This window comes from Homo sapiens, chromosome 7 (assembly GCF_000001405.40).
Source record: "Homo sapiens chromosome 7, GRCh38.p14 Primary Assembly".
Lineage (NCBI taxonomy): Eukaryota > Metazoa > Chordata > Mammalia > Primates > Hominidae > Homo > Homo sapiens.
This window is the reverse complement of record NC_000007.14, coordinates 114,954,787-114,978,689: the sequence shown is the minus strand read 5'-3', so window position 1 is coordinate 114,978,689 and position 23,903 is coordinate 114,954,787. Positions and strand designations below refer to the sequence as shown.

The 23,903-nt window shown below is 35.8% G+C and overlaps 1 protein-coding gene across 2 annotated transcripts in view; it reads right to left on the bottom strand.

Annotated features, from left to right (window-relative positions):
• The window catches only part of MDFIC (MyoD family inhibitor domain containing), a 97,824-nt gene that overhangs the window by 41,228 nt on the left and 32,693 nt on the right, over positions 1 to 23,903 (bottom strand). The gene's annotated exons all lie outside the window — the stretch shown is intronic.

The following is a 23,903-nucleotide window of genomic DNA, read 5'->3' as shown; positions in this document are numbered from 1 at the left end:
TATATATATAATCTAAGTTTAAGACTATAAAAACTGAAAGTCTAAAAATGTAGCAAGATTGATACACAACCATATAAAATCAACAATGCTCCTGTAAGCAAAGAGTATAACCGATTAACAAATAAACAAGAAAAATAACTCTTCACAATAGCAAAAAAAGAAAGAACAAGCCAACAAACAAACAAAAGATGCTATACGTATTTTGGAATTAAACTAGAAAAAAATGGGCAGAGGTTTTATGGCAAAAATTACAAAACACTACTGAAAGTCATAGAAAAAACCCAAATAAGTGGAGAGAGTATAAATATGTTAATTATGTTAATTCTCTCCGATTTATTATTTAATGCCATTTCCATAACATTTCCAACAGGCTTGTTTATGGAACTTGACAAGCTGATCCAAAAATGTATATGGAAGAGTAATCAAGAAAGACCAAGGAAATTTTTAGAAGAAAAAGAGGGTTGTAGGATTTGATGTATGAGATATTTCTATCACAGCACCTAAAGCAGTACAGCATTGGACCAGGCATAGACATACAAGCCAATGAAGCTTATGAAATTATTGAGCCCCAAATATGGGACTCATATATTAATATAAGGTAGACATGCACACACCTACATATTTGGGTACAATATAAATAATATGCATAATTATTTTATTATACCAATTAATATAATAATATTAATATAAATATTAATGGTTATATCAATATAATCTAATATAATTATGTTGATTATGTAATTATTATATAATACATATATAATATTTATGTGATATATAAAATATATAAATAAAATATAATTAATTATATAAATGTTAATATTTATACAATTAATATTTGGGTATAGTATACTTAATATAATTAGTACATGTAAATTCCAAATGTATTAAATGCCTATATATAAAAAACAAAACTTTTTATTTAAAGTGTAAATAGAGGAGACTGTTTTAATAGCATAAGCACAAACAAATATGATTTTTTAGACAATGAATCATAAAACAAATGTGAATATTCACCTGTTGTGTTGTGTTGTCCAGCATTCTGGTCACACTCATGGAGTTAGGTAAATTCCTCTACGACATCCCTAGGCTACTCTGGAGCTAGAGGACAAGGATGTGACCTAAGTTCTGCCAGAAGAGAAGTATGGCTTGCATTTGGAAGTGATCAATGCAAGCTGTTAGCCACACCAGGGTGGTGGAGCCTCTCAACACAGGGAGTGAAGAGGTATTTGTTGATTTTAGCAGTGAGGGACAACTTATGGTGTCCCTCACCTCCTAGCAAAACAGTGGCCCAGTGCTACAGCAGTGGGGTTTTCAACAGAACAGCCCTACTGAATGGATGGACATGATCCTTGTCTGTATAACTCTGGGAGCATCTATGTGCTGCTAATAAATTTATTTTCTATTTAAATTAGCCAAGATATTTGCAGCTAAAAGCCTTGATGCCCCCCAAAAGTTATCTGTTTACATCGATTAAGTATTAAAATCATCATTATCTTCATTATATACATTTTAAGCAAAGCTATATATCACAGCTTTTCAGCAAAATCACCAGCAACAACAAAAAACATTCATTGTGAAAATTTTACTGTGCTATACTTTCCTGGAATTTCAAAATCTAAAACTTACTGTTTTAATTAGTCTTTTTTTCTGTTCGCGATTATAAGCAATTATGAAATGTAAATTACATAAGACTATGAAGAACTCTTCCACTTGGAAAAGTATTACATTTAAGGTTGTAACAGTTATACGTGGGGTTGATAAATGTGCTAAAGAGGACTTATTATCTTTGGTGACTACGTAAGACTTGAAGCATTTTTCAGAAAAAAAAAAGACAGTTTGCATCTGAGTAAGTCTTTAGTAAGCCATTGTTTACTTCAGTTCTTGTTCATACATCCTATGTATTGTGAAGAAAAACATCTTAACATATCAAAATATTCTACTCATTTATTAGCATATTTTAAGAAAAATGATGGATTTTTTACTTAAATGTACACTTTCACACCAAGTCTATTAGCATTAATATCTGATTTATAAAAACTAATATAGAACATCCTGTTACCGTTTTTCAGTTCTTTAGTGATAAAGAGGAATAATAGTCTAAAAGTAAACATCTGTTTAGCAGTTATATATGCCCTTTTCATAACTAAAATCTACAAAGCCTCTGTAAAAGGAGATCTATTTCTACGGGTGTGCAATGGTTTGATTTAGAGATGAATTTGCTGCTTCTGTAACTTCTTGTATCAACTAGAATGACATTCTAATGACCGCTATTGAACATAAAGCTAGTTATGCATACATATTTAAAAAGATGCCAAAAAAGACAGTTAAACCTAATTTGGTTTTTCCTCTGGAAAGCCACTTTTTCCTCTGGAAAGAATAATTCAAGCAATCTGAGAGCTTGATTGAGTTGAAATGTCATTGACCAAAGCTGGGGAGACTCCTTGTCAATCAAAAATGTCTTGTCATATTTCATAATTCAAAATAAATTTAGAATTACTATGTAATAAATATTTTTAGTAAATAAAAATAAGAGTGGTAAAAGACACTTGTATCCTGGCTACCAAATTCTAAAACTGACATATTTGACCTTTTTCTGCTATCAAAATTGACTATTTGCAAATTACTAGGTATGGCTGGAGTGATATTCTCACGCATCCTTAATGGTTTATCTACATTTCAATCTTTAAAATGATATCCATTTCTGTTGGCAGATAAATAATAGTACATTATTTTTGTTTCACTGTCACCTAATTATTTTCACTATAGTTTGGATTATGATCAGATAACCAAGTATTATCCCTTTACTCTAGTTTTTTTAACATTAAAATATTTATTAGTTGAATGATTTTGCCAGATGTGTGTATTACGTAAGTCAAATCAAAACTGGATAAGCCTTAAATACATTAGCTATCTCAACAGAAATTAAATTTAACTTTATTGTTAATTATTTATGGGTATGACTTGAATCTTATGGTAAAATTAGAGTTAAAACCAAGTAGGAAACATGATTTTATTTTCAAATGAAGAACAAAAACACCTGACGGATTAAACCACAACAACTTGGCTTTAAACAGATTTCCTTCCTTATTGTGTCAAAGTTGTGTATGGCTTTAAAAAAAAAAAAAGCATGCTAATATGGAAACGACACAATGCTTCTTAAAACACAAGTGATGCCTAGGGACCCTCACTCTCCCTTTAATGATCCACTGCTCTCATTCAGCTGTCTTTCTTTTTTCAAATCTTTACATATGTGACAGCTCTCAAAAGTAGACCATAGACCATCTGGCATTTTTCAGAGGTGTAACTTGTGCAAATTCAGCTCTATTGGGAGTGCACTGCTATCTTCTGCCTGCGTTATAAAGGGACAATAGAATGTAGAACTTATGAGTTGTTTTGAATTATTCATTTTTTTGCCTGTATGTTCACGAAATTTTACAAACTCTGCATTTTGTACTACATAATCACATGCGTTAAAGGTACAAAGAAACTTTTTGACACCTCTTTTCTAAAGAAAGCTGGCATTTTGTTTGATATGTGAACATTCAGCATCTGTTATATCATTCTAAACAGGATAGGTGCTTCTACAAAAGACCCCATTTTAAATTTACTCCATAATACTAGCAAAAAAAAAGTATTCTTGATATTCAGTAATGAATGCAATACACATCAAAATTTCAAATACCACTTATAAGAACATTCAGCATCTTCAAACCTGGATAGCATTGGTCACCGGCTTAGCATATGTGTAAAGATTAAAAAAAAAAAACATTGCTGACACAATACAGCATGATTGTAATTTTAATATCCATGATGAATAGTTACAAATGACTTAAGAAATACTGCACTTTCTAGGTTCAAATGTTTTCAATCAGGAAGGAAACCAATAGAATTAGGTCTAGCGATTTTCAATAAGAATAATAAATATGGGAGTAAATGAGTCAATAGCATGAACTTCTTTTGACAATTTTTTTAAAAAACTGGTGATATTGTAGCTAGTAATAACTATACTTGAAACCACAGCTGCTGGAGTAGCAATATAAAGCAACATTTTGCTATAGTGTATAATCTATTAGCATGTGCAAATCATCTTCAGCCACTGGTCACTTTACACAAGTCAGATTTAATAAAATTACAAAAGAATTCTCATGCTATTCAGTTTAAATGGTTGTTGTACACATAAAAAAATCAAAATTAAATGCTCAGGATGTAAAATTGTCAGTAACAAAATGATCAATGTAGAATATGGAGGGGGAAAATGACTTGGTGTAAATCTAAATGACTTTTCCCAGGGATGGCAACAAAGCTTTTACTGGTGCCCAGGACTTTGCTACTCCATGGTCACAATGGGACAAATATACACACAGATAGTAGAAGATATATATATATATAATATGCATATATATGCAATTATTTGCATATATACAACAGCTTTAAAAGGAAGATGAAAAGTTATTTCAATATGAACTAACATGATAAAAACTATCTTACATTTTTATTGCTATATAATGTGAATTTAGGCTAAAATCAACTAAAATAAACATCCTAATACCCAACTCTTTTCATCAACTTGATCCAAATCTTCCTCAATATGGAGACCCTACATGGACCCTATATCCCAATACTGACATAGTCTAGAAGCTTCTGGCACTTTCTGTATCTGTTTCTTTAGTTCCCTGGCAAGGGCCTTCTAATCTTTTTTTTATTTGCCTCTTGAGCTTCTGGACTCTTTTATGACATCATATTTTCCATCTTTATTTTATTTGATGTATATATTTAACATACTGAAATACATTTTGGAATTCTGACATTTTTTGGAACATTGATCAATTTAAGGATCCCAGTCAAATTCTGTAACTACCTGGCTGGGAACTCGCAAAGGAGGCAATTGTTTTATGATTATATCACATCTTACAGAATTTTTAACATTAGTTCGGTTTTAATGATTGCAAAATAAATCTCCAGATGACAACAGGAAGTACAACTACCCCCATCCCCAAAGAAAGGATAAAACTTTAGAAGTTGTGTTTAGAGAGGCAATAATTTTTCTGCATTTCATTAAGAACATTTAGAGAGTACTTAGATTTAAATAATGCCTGGAGTAAGAGATTCTTCTCCAAATTAATTTTCCCAATTGTCCTGAGTACGTGGCTAGTCCCATTTCTCAGCTTTCCCTTGCAGTTAGGTTCAGGTATGTATCTACGTTCTCTCTAAAGGAATGAGAGCAGGAATTATTTCTGCCACTTTTAGGATTGGGCCTTAAAACCCGGGTGTGCCCTCTCTATACTTTGTTTTTTGCAGTTGGCAGCAAACCAGTTTTGACCACAGCTGAGTGAAATATCTTAAGAGATGTTCCAGAGACCAAACAAAAGGAATCTGTATGGCAGCAGGGAGGGGAGCCTCTCACTGACCTGGAATGCTCATTTCCTACTGTTCCATAGGGAATTAACTTTTATCCTATTTAAACTATAGAATTAATGCTGAGACTCTATAAAACATTAATAGCTTCTATCAAGGCCTATTAACAACTATGTACTGTGAATATACACATATATACACATATATTCATATATATATATATATATATACACACACACACGATACATAAACTGCCTTTAGCCCAAATGACTTAAAATATGCCAAATTTCACAAGAAGGAAATGTTTAAATGATGATCGGCTAAAAATATAAACAATCTATTAATAACATATAAACAATCTCTTAATAGTAGTAGAAAGAATGCTACTAAATCCACAGCTACAGTGGACCTTAGAAAGTAGACAATCTGAGCCAGGTGCAGAGCCTAGCACTTTGAGAGGCTGAGGTCGGAGGATCACTTGAGCCCAGGAGTTTGAGACCAGCCAGAGCAACATAGTGAAACTCTGTTTCTACAAAAAATAAAAAATTAACCAGGTGTGATGGCACATGCCTGTACACGGGAGGCTACAGTGGGAGGATGGCTTGAGCCCAGGAGGGCAAGGTTATAGTGAACCATGATCAGGCCACTGCACTCCAGCCTGAGTGACAGACGGAGATCCTGTCTCAAGAAAGAAAGAAAAAAAAGAGAGAAAAAGAAAGTTGACAATCTTTACAATGCAGGGTCTAATTATTAATGAGGTATAATAATGATATCATGTAGTTTTGCAGAAAAAGTATCCATCCCACCTTACTTTGCCATTTGAAGACCATTATGTAAAATTTCCTCAAATTTCCATCCTAATCATGACTAGGAGGATATCAGATGGGTGACCCAACAATCCCAGTTTACTCAGGTCTAAGGGGGTGGTAGAGTGGGGTGGGGCTTCCTGGGATGAAGAATTTTTAGTTTTAAACCAGGTCGGTCCCCGGCAATCTGGGATGAGTTGATCACCTTTGTATCAGGAGTAATGTATGTGTAACTGCTAACAGCTTTCCTCAAACAAGATATTGGCAAAAATAAATAGTGGTAAGCCTGTAGATTTTGAACAAGACAAACCGGGGTTTGAATGCTAGAGTCAGTATTTCCCATTTCTGTGGTCTTACAAAAGTTACTTCACCCCTTACCCTAAACATTCCCTCCCTCCCCCACATTAGGACTTCATATGCAAATGAGAGAAATGACAGATCCTCCTATGTACGGGGAGGCCTAGCTTCCCAGCCTCTAACCCTTGTTTTTCCATTTCCTTATCCTCCTCTACATAATTTTTCCCCATTTATTCCTGAATTACTATTTGTCTTTTGTTTTTTTATTCTGTGTTATTAACTTTTTTTTTCTGTAAATCAGCCCAAAGCCTTTTTGCAAATAAACATTTTCAAGTTAATATACAAACATTTTCTTTCACTTTTCAGAAAAACTATGATGTGATAGAAAAGTAAATCCAAATATAAGAGTTTTAAAGAAAATAATCAGCATTTTCTTTTAAGATCTGCATGTATTACTAAAACATCCCCAGATAGTAAACCAATGAAGAAAAAAAAATCCACTATATTTTATCCAAGTATAGCTTTTCTCTAATGCTTATTATCCAGAGAAATTAACAAGAAATTATGATGTACAAAAGCTAGCCTGATGTAAAGCCAAATTTGTCATTCATTTGAGGATAAAAGCACAAAAGCAAGCAATACAGGTCACAAAGTATGCAAGAAGACCTCCCATTAAGAAGCATACAGCACTCTCAGGTTTCAATTCAATGAATATATTGACAAACTTAGATAGATGCAGAACGCTTTTCTGATAGAGGTCCCAGACCCAGCCCTGCTTTTGGATCCCTTTACTCCCCTCTGTGTGATTCAGGCTCTCTGATAAAACAAGGATATATATAAAAAAGTTTGAAACCAAGAATTCCGACCTAATATAAACACCTGTATCAGAAGTAGATTGTTGAAATGTGAAGTTAGGTAAGTAAAGGCAAGAATGGGAACAATGAGATCACTCCATCCTAACCTGAAAAATCAGCAGTTAATATTAAAGAGCAGCTCATCAGTTCTTGAAATGTGTATACTAAGACTGGATCTTCATGGTACTCTGCAGAAAACTGTCCATATATTTGTATGTTAGACTTTTTATGGCCTTCAGAAGTTCCTACAACAAAACAATACACTTCATTCTAACTAGTTGAAGTAAAAGCCAACTAGAAAAAGTAGACAGCTTTATTAAAAGCTGTTTTTTTACCTACAGGTGATACAGCCATAGCCAGCAATGTGCAAATAAATTTCTTATTGTGTAAACTCAAAAAGGTCCTCTCCTCTGTAGAGACACATTTCAAAAAGTCATGCTTGCTGTGGTTCAAGCGCTGGTGAGTAGAGGAAGAACTGAAGTTCAGCCCCCACTTGCCTTTATGCAATTCACACATGTACAAACTAAGGAACAGCCTTGGTAGCCAGGGATCTGAGACCACTAAAGTCATGATAATCATATACATGTTAGCTGAATTTCAGCAGCCAAGTTACTTGTTTGAGTTTAGTATGCTGACTAAAGTGCTGGAAATATTAGGGAGGAGATTGAACTATTGAAGACTGAAACTCCAGGCTCATCCAAGTGCCTTCCCCACTCACTGCCTTTAAGTCATTCAGATCATTCATTCACAAGGAGTAAATCCTGGGGAAGGCGCAGCAACCCAGGTCAAGCCTCACCACTTGCAGAAGTACAGCTAGTGACAGGAAGCTATTAAATTGATACAAAAGGCGATATGGATAGCCCAGAGCCCAAAAACGAAAGTGGTAAAGCAAGGGACCAGAGTCAAAGATCATTATTTGACACAAATTTGGAGCCAGTGACCAGAAAATGAAATCCTCTACTGCCACCTACAAAAAAATAAGATAGATAAGCAATCAACAAAAATAATAAAGAAACTGTATTGCTAGAAACATCCCCAGCCTAGCAAATAAATGCTTATGACTGTTCCACCCTAAGGGAATCTGAATCCAAGTCCTTGTTGCCAACAAAGAAAGAACTGCTAAGGCCCCTGCAAGGGAATCCTCCCTGAACCCCTTCTCAGAGATGGCTATGAAGGTCCCCAAACAAGGGGAATCTTCTTAACAGATAATCCTTCAGTAACAAATCCACTGGGACAGAACCCAGACCAAGGTCAGGGAAGAAACTCAACAACAAGATGCTTATGATAGTCCCTGGCCATATTATCTTCTGTACCAGCCCTAACCAGGGAAAAATGGTGCATTCCCTAGACCAGCACTGTACTTCAGAGTTTACACTGTGGCTATCCTACGTTCTGCCTATCCAGAGGTGTTTTAAGCCACATGTTGCAGGATCATGAAGGGCTACTTCCAAATTTGATTTAGGACAGATTTCTGAATTACTTCAGAAGAGGAACAAACATCACCTAGAGGTCTGTGGAATAACATGACACTAGCTCTAGATGCTTCATCTGGATGTTACTTTGATTTGTTTCTCATTAGGGAGAGAAGTACATATACGTTTGTGTGAGGGATCATTGGATCTCATTAAGTAGAAACATTGTGACATCATCTGCATGTTTATACACACATAAGTGTGTGCTGATCAGCCAAAAACAAGACCATAGTAGATAACTGCTCTTGGTCTATCCAATTCACCCCTTTCTTCTGGTAGCAGTATAGATACTGCGTCTGGGACCTCAATTTACTGACATGAACCCTTCACAAAAATAAAGTATTTTTAATAGAATACATTTTATACACAGAGTTTGACAATACTGGGCATTTGCTGACTTGCCTTGATTATTATATAGAGTTCCTTCAGTACAAGATCCTATATTCTTAGAATTCCGTCAACCGTATCAGACACATATATGCTGACAAAGAGCCTTGTATGATGTTCAGCACCCAGTGGACACCAAGTGAAAATTAACTGATGATGATGAATTATACTAGCTTTTAAGCTGTCACTTGATCCCAGCATATAACAACCTTCCTGAATAAATCAAGCAACAGTTTGGTATTCAATACCATTATAAACTTCATCCTTCACCTTCACGAGTCTAGGGAATTGCTGTAAAAGCATAATATGAGGATGGCGGAAGTGTAGCAAGGATTCAAGAAATTCACTCTGTTGTAACTAGGGAATTAAAGATTCAGTTACAGATATCATACTATGTGTAGAGAAATGCATCTAAAATACTAGTTAAGTAACCTTTTTGAAAACAGCGTCAGAAAAGTCAAAGTCAAATTTCGTAACTGAAAGTTTTTTCCTCCTTGTAATAAAAGCAAACCCAACTTAATATACAAGTGAAACTGGTATCTCCTTGAGATTAGGGCAGTGGGAATGCAAATGAAGTTCCAGTTATGAGATATGGAATTACGTAGACGAGCATACAAATTGCTAACTGAACATTTACAAAATTAAATTTATTTCTGGTAGTTTACACAAGGTAAATCAGAAGAAAATCAATTCTATTATTATACATTTCCAAAACTTTAATAGTAGTGCTCATAGCCCTCAAAGTTCTTTGGTGAGTAGTTGTTACTAGGAGGACTTCCATAAATTCCCTTAAAATACATTGAGAAAAGGAAATCTTTGTGCTTTAATTCTAATAACAGTTCTCATTATAGATGAACCTCTGTCTGACATAATTTGATAATTTAGGACTGCAAGCAAAGTTCTAAGAATTAACTTAGGAAAAAACTGGGATGGTGCTAATTATCTTGTCCAACCCATATAGAAAATCCTGGTGAGTTTCTTCCATAAGGAAGTAATGAACAAGCTGCTTATCCCACATAATCGAACAACAATATTCAGATAAATCGTGCAACAAAAGTTTCCAAACTTGCAGAAGTAGATTCACATATACTAATTTTTAATTCTTCTTTATATGTGATAGACAGCTTAAACACAATGGAAATTTCTAGCACATAAATGAATAAGTAAAAATGACATTATTTTCTCATTCTCATTTGCTTTCTCCTGAGATTAAAATCTTGCCCATGTTTTAATTTTTTGGAGCATGATTTGGGGGGTATTAATTTTAGATTTTGTCTTCATCAAAGTAGCAAGATAATTTTAAACTCCTTGGGAATAAAATGTTACTTAACATATAAGCATCTGCAAATGGCACAGAGAGACAAACTCATTAACCACATTTCAAGATTAACACGATTGAGGCTGGGCACAGTGGCTCATGCCTGTAATCCCAGCACATTGGGAGGCTGAGGCAGGAGGATCCCTTGAGCCCACAAGTTTTTCACCAGCCTGGGCAACATAGTGAGACCCTGTCTTTTAAAAAAACTGGGTGTGGTGGCATGTGCCTGTGGTATCAGCTACTTGAGAGGCTAAGCTGTTAGAATCACTTGAGACTGGGAGGTCTAGGCTACAGTAAGCTGAGATTATACCACTCCAGCCTGGCCAACAAAGAGAGACTCCATCAAAATTAAAAAAAAAAAAAAAAAGAAAAGAAAGAAAAAAAGAAATAAAAGATTAACATGATTGAGACCATTTACACAGATGTTTTTCCTCTAATTGTGCCATTAAAACCCACTAAATCTCTCAAGGTAACATTGGCTGCAAACCGACTTAAATACATTATTATAAATTTTTTTTTATATACTATGGTGCCAGGCACCATTCTTGGAATAAGGGATATTACAAAGAATAAATGTATAAAGACCTGGCCCTCATATAACTTAACTTACAAATATTTATCATCTCATATAACAGAAAATCCAAAAATAGCGCAGCTCTACTATTATTGATTTCACAGCTTTATATCATGAAAGACAAAGATTCCATATGTTTACAGTCATCTTCAGCATGTCAACTTTCTCATCTGACTATTGCCCTCATAATTATGAGTCTATGATGCAGCTTCAGGCATTTCATCAAAGAATGACATCAAGCCTTGAAAAGAGGGGGCATTCTCCCTTAATGTCTTTTTCTAAAAATATTTAAAAACACTTTTCCAGAAACCCTCCAGGAGATGTCCTCTCACATCTCATTGGCCAGAACTGAGTCACAGGCTGACCTCCAAACCAATCACTTGCAAGGGGAACAGGATGACCATGACTGGCTGAAACTAATCAGAATCTTTTCACCTGACTTTTGTGCATCTGAACAAAATCTGTAATCTCTTAAGAAAGATGCAAATGTTCAGAGAGCAACAAGCAATTTCAACTGCATCAACACTTTTTTAAAAATTTAAACAAAGAAAAGTATTGGGAATAATATATAACACCCAGAAATTTACCAGAATTTTTAAAATTTGAACTTTTTACATATTTGCTCTAAGTAGATATATTTTTTTAAAAAAAAATCCAATACGCCTTTTTGAATGACTGAATATTAGCACCTTCATCCCTTAACATCACTAAGAAGCTAAACTCTGTCCATTAACAATCTCCTAGAATAGTCTGTCCTCCATATTGTCCTATTGCTACTAACCATGCTTCCCAGATACAACTTCTACATATGCTCTACGGGCCTAACCCTGCCCTGTGGCATCAAAATCTTCCAGAGAGTGGAACCCAGAAACAATATTTGAAAAAAGCTTTCAGGTAATTCTGATATACAACCAGATTTTAAACTATTGCTCTAGTATAAACTGTTATTCTGTAAATATTATTTTGTTCTTTTATTATAGTGTTTAGTGACACAAACAACCTGTTCTTTTTGATATATTGTTGGTGGGAGCTGTAGTCATGTGACTGTGGGTTGTAAAATTCCAAGATGACGCCTTCCACTAGTACTCATCAGCCCGAAGTGCAGGTTGGTGCTTCAAAAATGTTATCTTGGTGATTTTGTCTTGAAGATAGAAAAAATAACCATATAAAATGACATCTCCCAGTTTGGTGGTGTTTTTTCCTTTTTTTTTTTTTTTTGGTTTCCTGACTAGGACATCAGAGTGAGCACAATGAACACAGACTTTCCCAGTCATAAATCAGAAGTAACAACAGGCTCACAATTTCAGCACAGCCAAGCCCAGTGGCACTCACAAATCATTCTTTACCTTTGGGAATTTACTTTGATAATGTAAAACACTGACTATTATCTTTGACATTATGAAGAAATAATTTTGCTACAAAAAATAAATAATATACCCTACCAAAACTAAATTTATTTTCTAAATTTGCTCAAAAGATTGCTTTCATTAATAAAATTCTGAAATTTAATCAATGCTTATCTTCAATGACAATGATATCTGGCAAACATGTGAAACACTAAAGTAACTTTAAAAAAATCTAGAGAAGTGAGTTTTAAACATTCTCTCTAGAAGCAGCATCCTTTTGGCATACTGTACATATATGGAAAATTATAACCTGAAGCAACACTACATGGCGGTGTGTTATTCTATTTTGCAAGTGATACATTTTAACCAAAGTACTCTTCTGGGGAAAACAGAAGCAAAACTAAGAAATAGTGTCAGAATACAAGGATAAAATGTAAGAAAAAATGAAATAACAAAGTAGGGAAAGATACAACCAAATGAGAGATAAAGAAAATATTGCTTATTCTCATACAATAAACTTTTATTGAGCACCTAATAATATCCTGAAGACTCTGTGCTAGTTAATAGATGTCAGAGAGGGAATACATCTTGAAAACTCTCCCAGATTACAAAACTGGCCCGTCCCTGCTCATCCCCCACCACCTGTCACTAACTGAATCAGTAACCTTTGCTGTGTGCCTTGCACACAAGTATCTCTCAAATGTCAACTGTGTTCCATAATCCATCCTTTCCCCTCCGTCTACCTGGTCAACATCAGTTTAAGTCCTCATCATCTCTTATCTAGGTTATCTTGGTCTCCTAACCTGAACTCTGGGAGTCCAGATTTTCTCTTCCGGCCCATCTTCCATTTCACTACCAAAAATACATTTCTAAAAAATAAAACCAAAAACAAAATGTGTTTACATTAATGTCCTAGATGAAAGCTCCAGTATTTACCCATCTCCAGGATAAAATCACAACTCAGTAGCCTCTTCCAAACCCTTCACAGTATTGCTCCAAACCCCTATGCCATTGTTTTCTCTTATTTTCCCACACTCTAGCTACACTGAATTTCTCCTGATTCCCAAACTTACCACAATCTTTTCATGCCTCTAGGCCTTGTACCTACTACTCCTCTCCTTGGAATGCCCTTCACTGCCTCTTACTCTTACATCAACACCTAGGTGAAATGTCATCTACTATCTGCCTTTGCTAAATTGTTCCGCTGGGAACCTTGTGGCTCCCTCCTCTGCCTCTAGAGCAAAATTTGTTTAAAGATCCGTCCTCTCCACCAAACTGTATGCTTTTCCATAACAAGAAACATTCCACTCCTTCATTCATATAGTCACTCAACATTTATTAAATGACACATGGAAGCCCACATACATACAGTGCTATTCTTCTGATCCAGCACTGAGAACAGTGACCACATAGAAAAATGACGTCAAGGGGCCCGGCATGGTGGCTAACGCCTGTAATCCCAGCACTTTGGGAGGCCGAGGCAGGCTGATCATGAGGTCACGAGTTCGAGACCAGCCTGGCCAATACAGGAAAACCCTGTTTCTACTAAAAATACAAAAACTAGCTGGGTGTGGTGGCGGGTGCCTGTAATCCCAACTACTCAGGAGGCTGAGGCACGAGAATCGCTTGAACTCAGGAGGCGGAGGTTGCAGTGAGCCAAGATCGTGCCATGGCACTCCAGCCTGGGCAACAGAGTGATGTTCTGTCGGAAGGGGAGGGAAGCGAAGGGAAGGGAAGGGAAGGGAAGGGAAGTGAAGGGAAGGAAAGGGAAGGGAAGGGAAGGGGAGGGGAGGGGAGGGCATCAAGGAAGAATAGAAAGAAACAATAATGTTCTTCTGCAGCTCCCCATTTCAATTGTTTAAATAAAATCTTAATAAGTACATATTGCTTACCTAGAAAAGCAAATTAAGAAAAATAATGCAATTGCCTTTCCCTGTACTTCCCAGATATAATGCTTCTTATACTTAACCCTGATGATTTTTAAAACCTGTAGCAAGTGTCTGCCTCTTTCAAACCCCTATAAACCATCCCATGCACATAATTCATAAGGTCAATTATTATTTCTAATTCAAATTAGTTGGAAAAATGACAATGTCAAATGTATTCATCACCATAGACCTCACATTAATTTCATCAATAGTTAGAAAAATATAATTCTGTATTCCAACAGTAGACAAAAACCATGAATAATACATGGAGCTAATAAAAAAATAGAACAATAAAAAGATTTCAGCACTTGAAGAAAAACAGGAAGTTGAAATACCCATTATATATAAAATTATGTTTTATTTATATTATGCATTCTTTTACCGGACATTTATCTAGAAAGTACCAGACACAGTGCTAAGATGAGTTAAATAAAGGTAAACAAAAATACACTAAACATCTAAGTAAACAAAGCCCAGCACAGTGGCTCACACCTGTAATCCCAGCACTTTGGAAGGCCAAGGCGGGAGGATCAGTTGAGGCCATGAATTCAAGACCAGCTTGGGCAACATAACAAGATCCCATCTCTACAAAAACAATAAAATTATCCAGGCATGGTGGCACGTGCCTGTACTCTTAGCTACTTAGGAGTACCAGCTGAGGCTGGTAGATGGCTGGAACCCAGGAGGTTGAGGCTGCAGTGAGCTATGATTGTGCCACTGCACTCCAGCCTGGGTGACAGGCTGACACATCTTGCCTCAAAAACAAACAAATAATAGATGCACAATTTTAAATTATGGCAACTAGTATAAAAGTACTACTGGCAGAGAGAATATCAAGGGAAATTTTTTAGTTTGGATAGCAAGGAATGGCATTTCAACAAAGATCTGAAGGGGAAGGGCCCTCACAAAGACAAGGAGCAACAGAGTCTCAGACCAGACTAACAACACCTGCAAAGCCCTGAAGCCGAACAAGGCTCAGCACATTTGCTGACCTGATGGAAAGCCAGTGTGGCTAGATAATACACACACTGTCCTCTGGATGTATATTTATTACCTAATTCAAATTATAAACATTAACAAATATATTAGAAAAATCACAGAATGTACTTCCATAAACCATTCCCAGCAATAGTCTTCCAAATATTGTGCTTATTTACCATATACGCCATTACCATTATAAATTATTCATTTATAAGACCACTCTCAGTATAACTGACCAGAAATTGGCTTAAATATTTACTGCAAACTGAGGCACTCCCAATAAAAGGTTCTTTGAAGTTACATAAAGGGGCCATCAACTGTATATAAATGTAAAATACAACCACAATTTGGAATATTAGAAAACACTTTCAGAAATTTTATACTTTAATTACTTTCCAAGAAAGAAACACATACATTCATTTCTCTGAAATATACAAACTTATTTATATTGAAATTGAGTGAAAATTGTTCTTAGGCTAGAAAGAATAGTATGAATGATTTGATGCTCTTTAATAATGAAATGAACAGTTGTGAGGGAATCATGTTGCCATTCTTATGAATCTGCTCAGATTTTAGAAATGACACTATCACTCTGATTTGTATCTAACTTCATATTTTTGTCTAATTTCGTAAATCTGGTTCCTTTACTCGGTTAAAACACATAATTCTCTAGCAGTAGTTCTCAACCTTTTTCCAACTCCACAGAGTTTATCTGAGCACTGCACATCCTCTAGTAATATCCTGTGTGGTTCAAAAAAAACAGACTCCTCCTCCAGAGATTCTTATGTCTCCTGCCTTATGCACTTCACTGGAGAATCATAATTCTAATACTGGAAACATGGACGGTTAGAATGATGACCAAGGGCAGTTTTTATCATAAAGGCAAACCCTTATGGGAGAACAAAATGGGCAACTTGACAGTGAATTAAATGTCTATATATCTGGGAACTTAAAAACTCCCATTAATTTCAAGTAATTATTTTCTATTAATATAGCCTTTCAAATCCCATATCATGGTTTACAAATTGCAAGTGGTTACTACATATTCTCATTGATTATCAAAGATCATTTTCAAAAGTTGCAGCTCCGGTTCTGCCACTATCTGAGTATTCTTGGGCAAACTACTTACTTCTCTGCTTCAATTTGTCCATTGAGAAACACAGAGGTTGAACACACTGATCTCTGATCACCTTCGCTATCTTTAAATTACAAGAGTATAGATCCCTGATTTATTGTCAACATGTAGAAAAACAATGTGTATATGACATGATATCTAGAAAAAAATCTGGAAAGAATCTATGTAAGAACCCACTTCATTATGCCTTGCAATTCAGAATCTAAGTCATCTAAATAATATTTATCAACATCATTATTAAAATTTTCTTCTTTTTCTAGAGAAACAAGTAAGAGAGGGTGGAAGGTATGATATCTTCAATAGAAACATTCAGTTAGAGTGAAATTAACCTGCAGGAGTGACATGGTTTGGATTTGTGTCCCTGCCCAAATCTCATGTTAAATTGTAATCTCCAGTGTTGTAGGAGCGGGTCTAATGGGAGGTGATAGGATCATGGGGGCAAATTTCCCCCTTGCTATTCTCATGATAGTGAGTTCTCATGAGATCTTCTTGTTTAAAAGTGTGTAGCACCTCCTCCTTTGCTCTCTTCCTCATGCTCTGGCCATGTAATTATGTGCCTGTTTCCCCTTCACCTTCCACCATGATTGTGAGTTTTCTGAGGCCTCCCCAGCAGTGCTTTCTGTACAGCATGCATATGCATGAGAAAACTATACCTCTTTTCTTTATAAATTACCCAGGTTCAGGTATTTTCTTATAGCAGTGTAAGAATGGACTCATATAAGGAGTATATGAGTAAAGTATATGAGAAAAGTGATTGAGCACTTTTCTGTCTACCTACTGCCAACAATTATTAACTATACTAGTGTCATAATCCCCTCTGCTTTCAGCCTGGTGTCAGGAGCTCAGGGCTGCTACTAGTGACAATGGCAACCAGGAGGAGGTAAGATTAAATCTCTTCCTTTCTTTGCTTTGAGTTAAAGAACTAGGGAATAAAAGAGAATATGAAAACTAACATGTTCTCTAATTCGTAATCTCTGGTTCATGGCCATCATTGATCAAGAGAGAAAGAGGTTAGGAGTGTTCATGTGTTGTGGGGGGAAAGGATTGTGTCTCATCCTTTAGGCAGTCAATTTCACTGAGCACCCGGTGTTTAGTATGACACTCCCATGCTTGCTCTGCTATGCCTAGTGCCCAGAGCAGGCAGGGGTGGTGCGGAGGAAACCTGATATTCTAAATCTTGCACACTCTTCTTCTCAGGTCTAAATTTCATCCCATCTTCCAAGAGCCTTGGGTCCTCCAAATCTTGAGCCTTTTGGGGTAGTACTGTGTTTTGTGTCATACTGACATTTAGGTTCCAGATTTTCAGAACCATAAAATTAGTTATTATTTCTCCATCTACTTGCCGTCTTGAAGAAATGTCTTCACATATTTGATCCACTATTGTTTCCTTGTCTGTGCCTCTCTTTAAATGTGTACCTTTTTAAAATGTATTATTAATTTACTATCATTTAAGTGGGATTTCAAAAATCATAGAATATACATATTGAATCTGCATGTTGAACAAAATATGTTTTATTTCCTAAGAGGCAAACAAAAACTCCAGAAAATTTGGAAAAATGTTAACACTTATTAAATCTGAGTGTCTGGGACATTGGTACTTATAATATTCTTGTGCATATTTTTCTGATTGAGATCTTTCATTATATTTAAAAGTGAAAATTAATTTTGAAATAAAAGGGGTCTATTCAGTGCAGTGGCTCATTTCCTCATATGTAGAAATCCCTTTTGATATGTGTTTGCGGGGTTTTTTAAGACTATATTAAAAAAAGGCCATGGTACACCTACTGGACTCTTTCCCACTTACTCTTGGATAATCAGTGAGAGGATCCAGGGGTCAAGCTCTACTTTTCTCCCTGGTTCTCTGCTTAGCATCTCTGGATCAGCCTGAAAACGCAGTAAGGAAGAGGTTCTATGCTTTCCATGGCATAACTCACAATGGCCCTGTACTTCTTCCTTTAACCAAGTGCTGGTTATTCTCATCACTCTGTGTGACTCATATCCATCTAGAGACTTTGAGACTTAACAAAATATTTCCATTTCGATTTTCATATTTGACCCTTCACCAACCCCGTGAGGTAGTGAGAAAAGGGATTTTCTCCAAGTACATTTCAAAGATGCAAAAGTTTAAGCTAAAAGACAAAGTGACTCACCCAGTGTCCCACAGTGAATGAGTTTTAGTGAGGATTAGTATCCGAATCACAGAGCTCCACACCTCACCTTCTCTAGGTGCATATAGTCTTTCACTATACACTGGTGTTATGTGCTGCCTGCACCTTTACAATGTCTAACTAAGCACCTCACTCCTATTAAATAGGAAGTGGCTGACGAGAAAGGTACACTTTTAGCCATTCTTTTATTTTCACTTTTCCTCCAGTCCCATTATTATTATTATTATTATTATTATTATTAGTCTATTTAGAATGTGGGAGTCAAGATAATTGGCTTACCACAGGTGTATCTTCCATTATTTTTTTTAAAGCACCATTCTATGTTTGTATCTATAGTCACTGACGCCTCCACTTATTCCAAAGTCTTCCTACATAATCATTATGTGTGTGAAATTTCAGCAGTTATTTCCCAAGGCACACTAGAGTGGACTGCAATAGGCCTGACTAACTGGAAACTCTCTAAGTTGAAATTAAGTTATCTGAATAATGAAACTTCTTTATGGCATTTTCCAAAAGACTAAGTTTTAATGTTGTATGCCAAAACAATATCATGCAGATATGTCCAAACTGGAGATGCACATGATAATGAGCCTGTCTTCCAAGAGGACTTTCACAAATATTTTCATATTTGTATTAATGAACAAAGATGTGAAAATGACACTACACCTTCAATTAAGAGGAAGAATAAAACCATCCCCAAATGATTTAATGTCTTATTTGCTCTCTGAGAAATACTATTCTAGGACTATAAACCACCCATTTTTCAATTTACTGTAATTTAGTGTTTCATACACTAAAATGGACACTAAAATCTGTCATTATTACTGACCAGGCTATGATCACACCTACTCAGTCATACCAGAGCTGTAGATTCTGACTCTGAGAGCTTAGTTATCTAATTTTGTTTTTTAGGCTCAAGAAGTAATAGTTGGTCTTATGTTTGTTCATTTTTAGTAAAAAGAAAAATTCAGAAAATGAACACTCCCACACATTTGTGCTTTTGGCACATTAAGTATGTACTCTGTGAACTGTATCATTTAAATATTTTTACTTTAACACTGTAGATGTCATAACACAAACAAACAAAATTGAAGACTTCTTCCCAGTGAGTGTTACAACAAACCCCTCATTTCCTCTAGGCTTAATGAGGACAAGGAACTGATTGTGAACCCAATGTTTATCAAAATAAGCAAACCGGAGGAAGATAATAAATGAGGAGTGGCGAATCCTTAGCTAAGTAATGGGCTGCATATTTTAGGGAAAATCATTTGTTTGTTTGTTTGTTTGTTATTTTGTTGTTGTTGTTGTTTTCTTGAGATGGAGTTTCACACTTGTCACCCAGGCTAGAGTGCAATGGTGCAATCTCAGCTCACTGCAACCTCTGCCTCCTGGGTTCAAGCAATTTTCCTGCTTCAGCCTCCCAAGTAGCTGGGATTACAGGCATGCACCACCACGCCCGGCTAATTTTTGTATTATTAGTAGAGATGGGGTTTCACAACATTGGCCAGGCTGGTCTCGAACTCCTGACCTCAGGTGATCCGCCTGCCTCTGCCTCCCAAAGTGCTGGGATTACAGGCGTGAGCCACCTTGCCCAGCCGGGAAAATAGTTTCAAACATATTTAAGGTAACGGTGATAACCTTCATCAATTTCAGAGTAAAGACTTCACAAAATTATGCAAAAAATAAGAAGAGAGCGTATTTTGTTTGTGTGTCTCCAAAAAATCCAGAGTATATGGTAAACTGTGCTTACATATGGTCTTATACTACATGGACTGTGTATGTGGTATCCTAATTAGTTTCCACAGAAACACTAAAGCCATTGAAGGAACTCCCTCAATGTGAGAGTGATTAGAATTAAGCTCTGCAAGAACAGTTTAGTTTATGATATTTATTCCTGGTAGCTAAATAGTTCCTTCCACAGAGGCAGTTTCTTCACTTTTACTTAATAAAATCAACTTATTACAAGCTATGCTCCTTCTACTCTTTCTCAGCACATATTTATTTCACAATGATAAGTTTTCCTACTTTGTGAGTGCTAGTTTTTCTGGAGTAAGTCCATGACTCATTTTTTAATAAAAGAGTAACTTTTAATAATTAAATGACCAAACCCTATTAAATGCTTAAATATTGTGATACAGATTATTCTTACACAAGCAAATAATTATTATTGGCTTATTGACCATAATGGTGCCAAAAGTTGTATAGATGCAATGTTTTCCTAGCAGGCCTATAAATATTTGCTATTATCTTTGTTTTGGTAACTACTCCTAAATGAGCAAACTATGAACTTTTATACAGTAAGAATGGCTTAAAGCTGCCCCTAATAAATCTTCTTAGTCTTATGCTATATTTCCATACCATTGAAAGAAAAAGCTGATATTGCACAGTTTTGAAATACACTGTTCTCCAAAGTATATGCTTCATCAGCAATTTATTTTAACATCCACATCTCCCTCTCAAAGGGAACTGAAACTAATTATGTATTGTCCCAAATGCCTAGATACCACTGATACCATATGAATTTATATATTATTCAAAAAGCTGATCTTTTTTTTACTTATTAATATGACTCTTAGGTAAACTGTATCGCTATTATAAGAGACTTTGCTTTATGCCAAGAACAAACTCTAGCTATAATAGTTAAGGAGACATTATTTCCAATACATCTACAAACACTTGATTGGAAGACTGCTTATTCCAGAAATTTTTAACTAAAAAACACAGCTTACTCCAATTCAGGAACAGAGTGTCAAAGGAAGATGAAAGAAGCAGGTGTTTGTAATTCTTCAGAAAAAAATAGGCAAAATCGTTTTCATCCTTGAAAACTTTACTCAAATATAACATAAACCTTGATTTCGATGTAATATATCAAGAATCCTAAGATAAATAATTTCTTATGATTACACCTGAAAGATTTTGAAGTGCTTTCACTGTACCATTTAGCCAGACTACCTGTGCAAATTATAATCATTCTTTTGTAATATTATAAAGCTTAGGTAAAAGTGTTACAGAGTAAAACTACAAGTAAGAAACACATTCTGAACAATGATGACATCTCTTGAAAAACCAACTTCCAAAAAGAGCTAAGGGTTAAGCCAAGGAGCCAAAACACACCCTATCCCAAACAGAGAGCCATACCTATCAGTTCCTGTGGGCCATCAGTCATAACTGTAAGAAACCACTTTCTGAAACAAGGTCTTTAAGTATTCAGATAAGTGACTAATATTCACCTTATTTTACTAACTTTGTTTCAGGGCAATATTTTCAATCAAAAACCTTAATACTCAATCTGTGCTGCACTTCAGGATTACATGGGGGCTCACAAATGCCCAAGCCCTACCCCTAATGATTCTAAATTCATTGGTCTGGGGTGGGTTCTGCACATCAGTACATATTTTAAGCCAAGATAAAGAGATGAGAACCATTATTTCACACAAAAGGATATGACTATAGAATCATAATGCCTTCCCCACCTCATATCATTGGTTTCAGTTATCAAGATTTTGTCTTGCTGCAGAAGGAAAATGCATATTTACCGCACATTAAAAATGGCATATGCTGATTCTCTACCTATCCATTGGAATGAGACCAAGTTCTCCAGGAGGCAATAAGTAAATGGTATTAAAGAATAAAAATGCCTTTTTTCTAAGATGTCAAATATATATATATATGTGTGTATATATATGTGTGTGTGTATATATATATATGTGTGTGTGTATATATATATAATATTTATGTATTAAGCCCAAGAACTGTTTTGAATTTAGCACAACAAAGATGAAGTTCTGAAGGAGTATAGTATACTGCAATTTTTCCAACTTTTCTCTTGCCAACACAAGGGCAGAATGCAGTCTTATTAATACTAGTGGTAAAAGAGCAGTAATTTTCAACTAGGAAAGTGGACTAGAATTGGGAGCTTGGAATAAGGTTATAACTTGGAACAACTGTCTCCTCTCCTATGATTCTAACACTCTCTAGAGGACCACATACATCACAAAGTCCCTTCCCTACCCTTATCTCTACCCCACTCTCCATTTGAGAATCACTCTAGGGTTAAGGGTGTATGCTGAAAAATCAAGATATTAGCTGCATGGCCCCAGGTCAGTTGCTTGACTTTTCTGAGCTCAGTCTTATAGATAAATAATAGTGATACTCATCCCATATGCTTGAGCTGCTGATAGCCCAGGTTAGAGCAATATATGAAAAACTTCATTAACTGTAAAAAGCTATGGTAATAACATTGTTAATATTACTAATAAAAACATCTTTTAATATGCATGAACTGCGGACTGAGAAAATTAGCTCCTTAAGAGAAGCAAAGATAGTCAATCCACATTTTAAACAAATTACCACAGCTTAACTAATTGAAAGCTGTCAGTCTCCTACAGAGACGCTAAATGTAGTCAAAAGGTAAAGACTTTCATTTATTCAACAATTAACATAAATGTATTTGGGGGAAACTATGTGCATGGCCCTGGGCTGAGGGATGTGGGGTCTACAGAGCTGAATGAGACACCAATCTTACCCTTAAGGAACCTTCAGTCCAGTAATGGAGAAGAGGGTCATAAACACCTGTATTACAATTTTGAAATTAATGAGTCCTTTAGGAGAGATACAGTTAAACACTCCCAGTCCCAGATGAGGCAGAAATCACACGAGCCTTGCTTGTTGGGCGGGAGACGTGGAGAGATGGGTAACATGAGTGAAGCCTGGGAAAAGGAAAATACTAGACAAGTGGACAGAGGTGCAAATAACATATTTTGGCTATGGCGAAAGTTCATGAAAGGAAGTAGTAGAGAAAAAAATCAATTTATTTCAATTTTTAAAATCAATCATCCAAATTTGCTTAATGAAAGTTTACTGTGGTCCTGGAATTATGCTGATTGCTTGGGGTACAACTTAGAGCCAGCAGACATTAGACATGTGAATTGCACAAATAAATTACAAATTGTGGCAACAGCTAAAAAGGAAAGGGTGTTGTGAGAAATAGGAAAAGCCATTGTAGATGGGGGTCTGGGAAGGCCTTTCTGAAGGGACAAGCCTGAAGGAAGATCTGGTATGCAAAAGACCGACGAGAGGCAGAAAGGAACCCAGTGGCATCTGAGAGACTGAAAGGGAGTCAACATGAACTATAGAGGCAGAAAGTGGTGAGGGGAGTGGTAGGATAGGGAGGGAGTTTCAAGCAGAAAACATGTCCTGTCAAATCCTACAGATAGAATAAGGACTGAGAAGAGCCCACTGCACTAAATGAGAAACACAACCTATCAGTCTCAAAACAC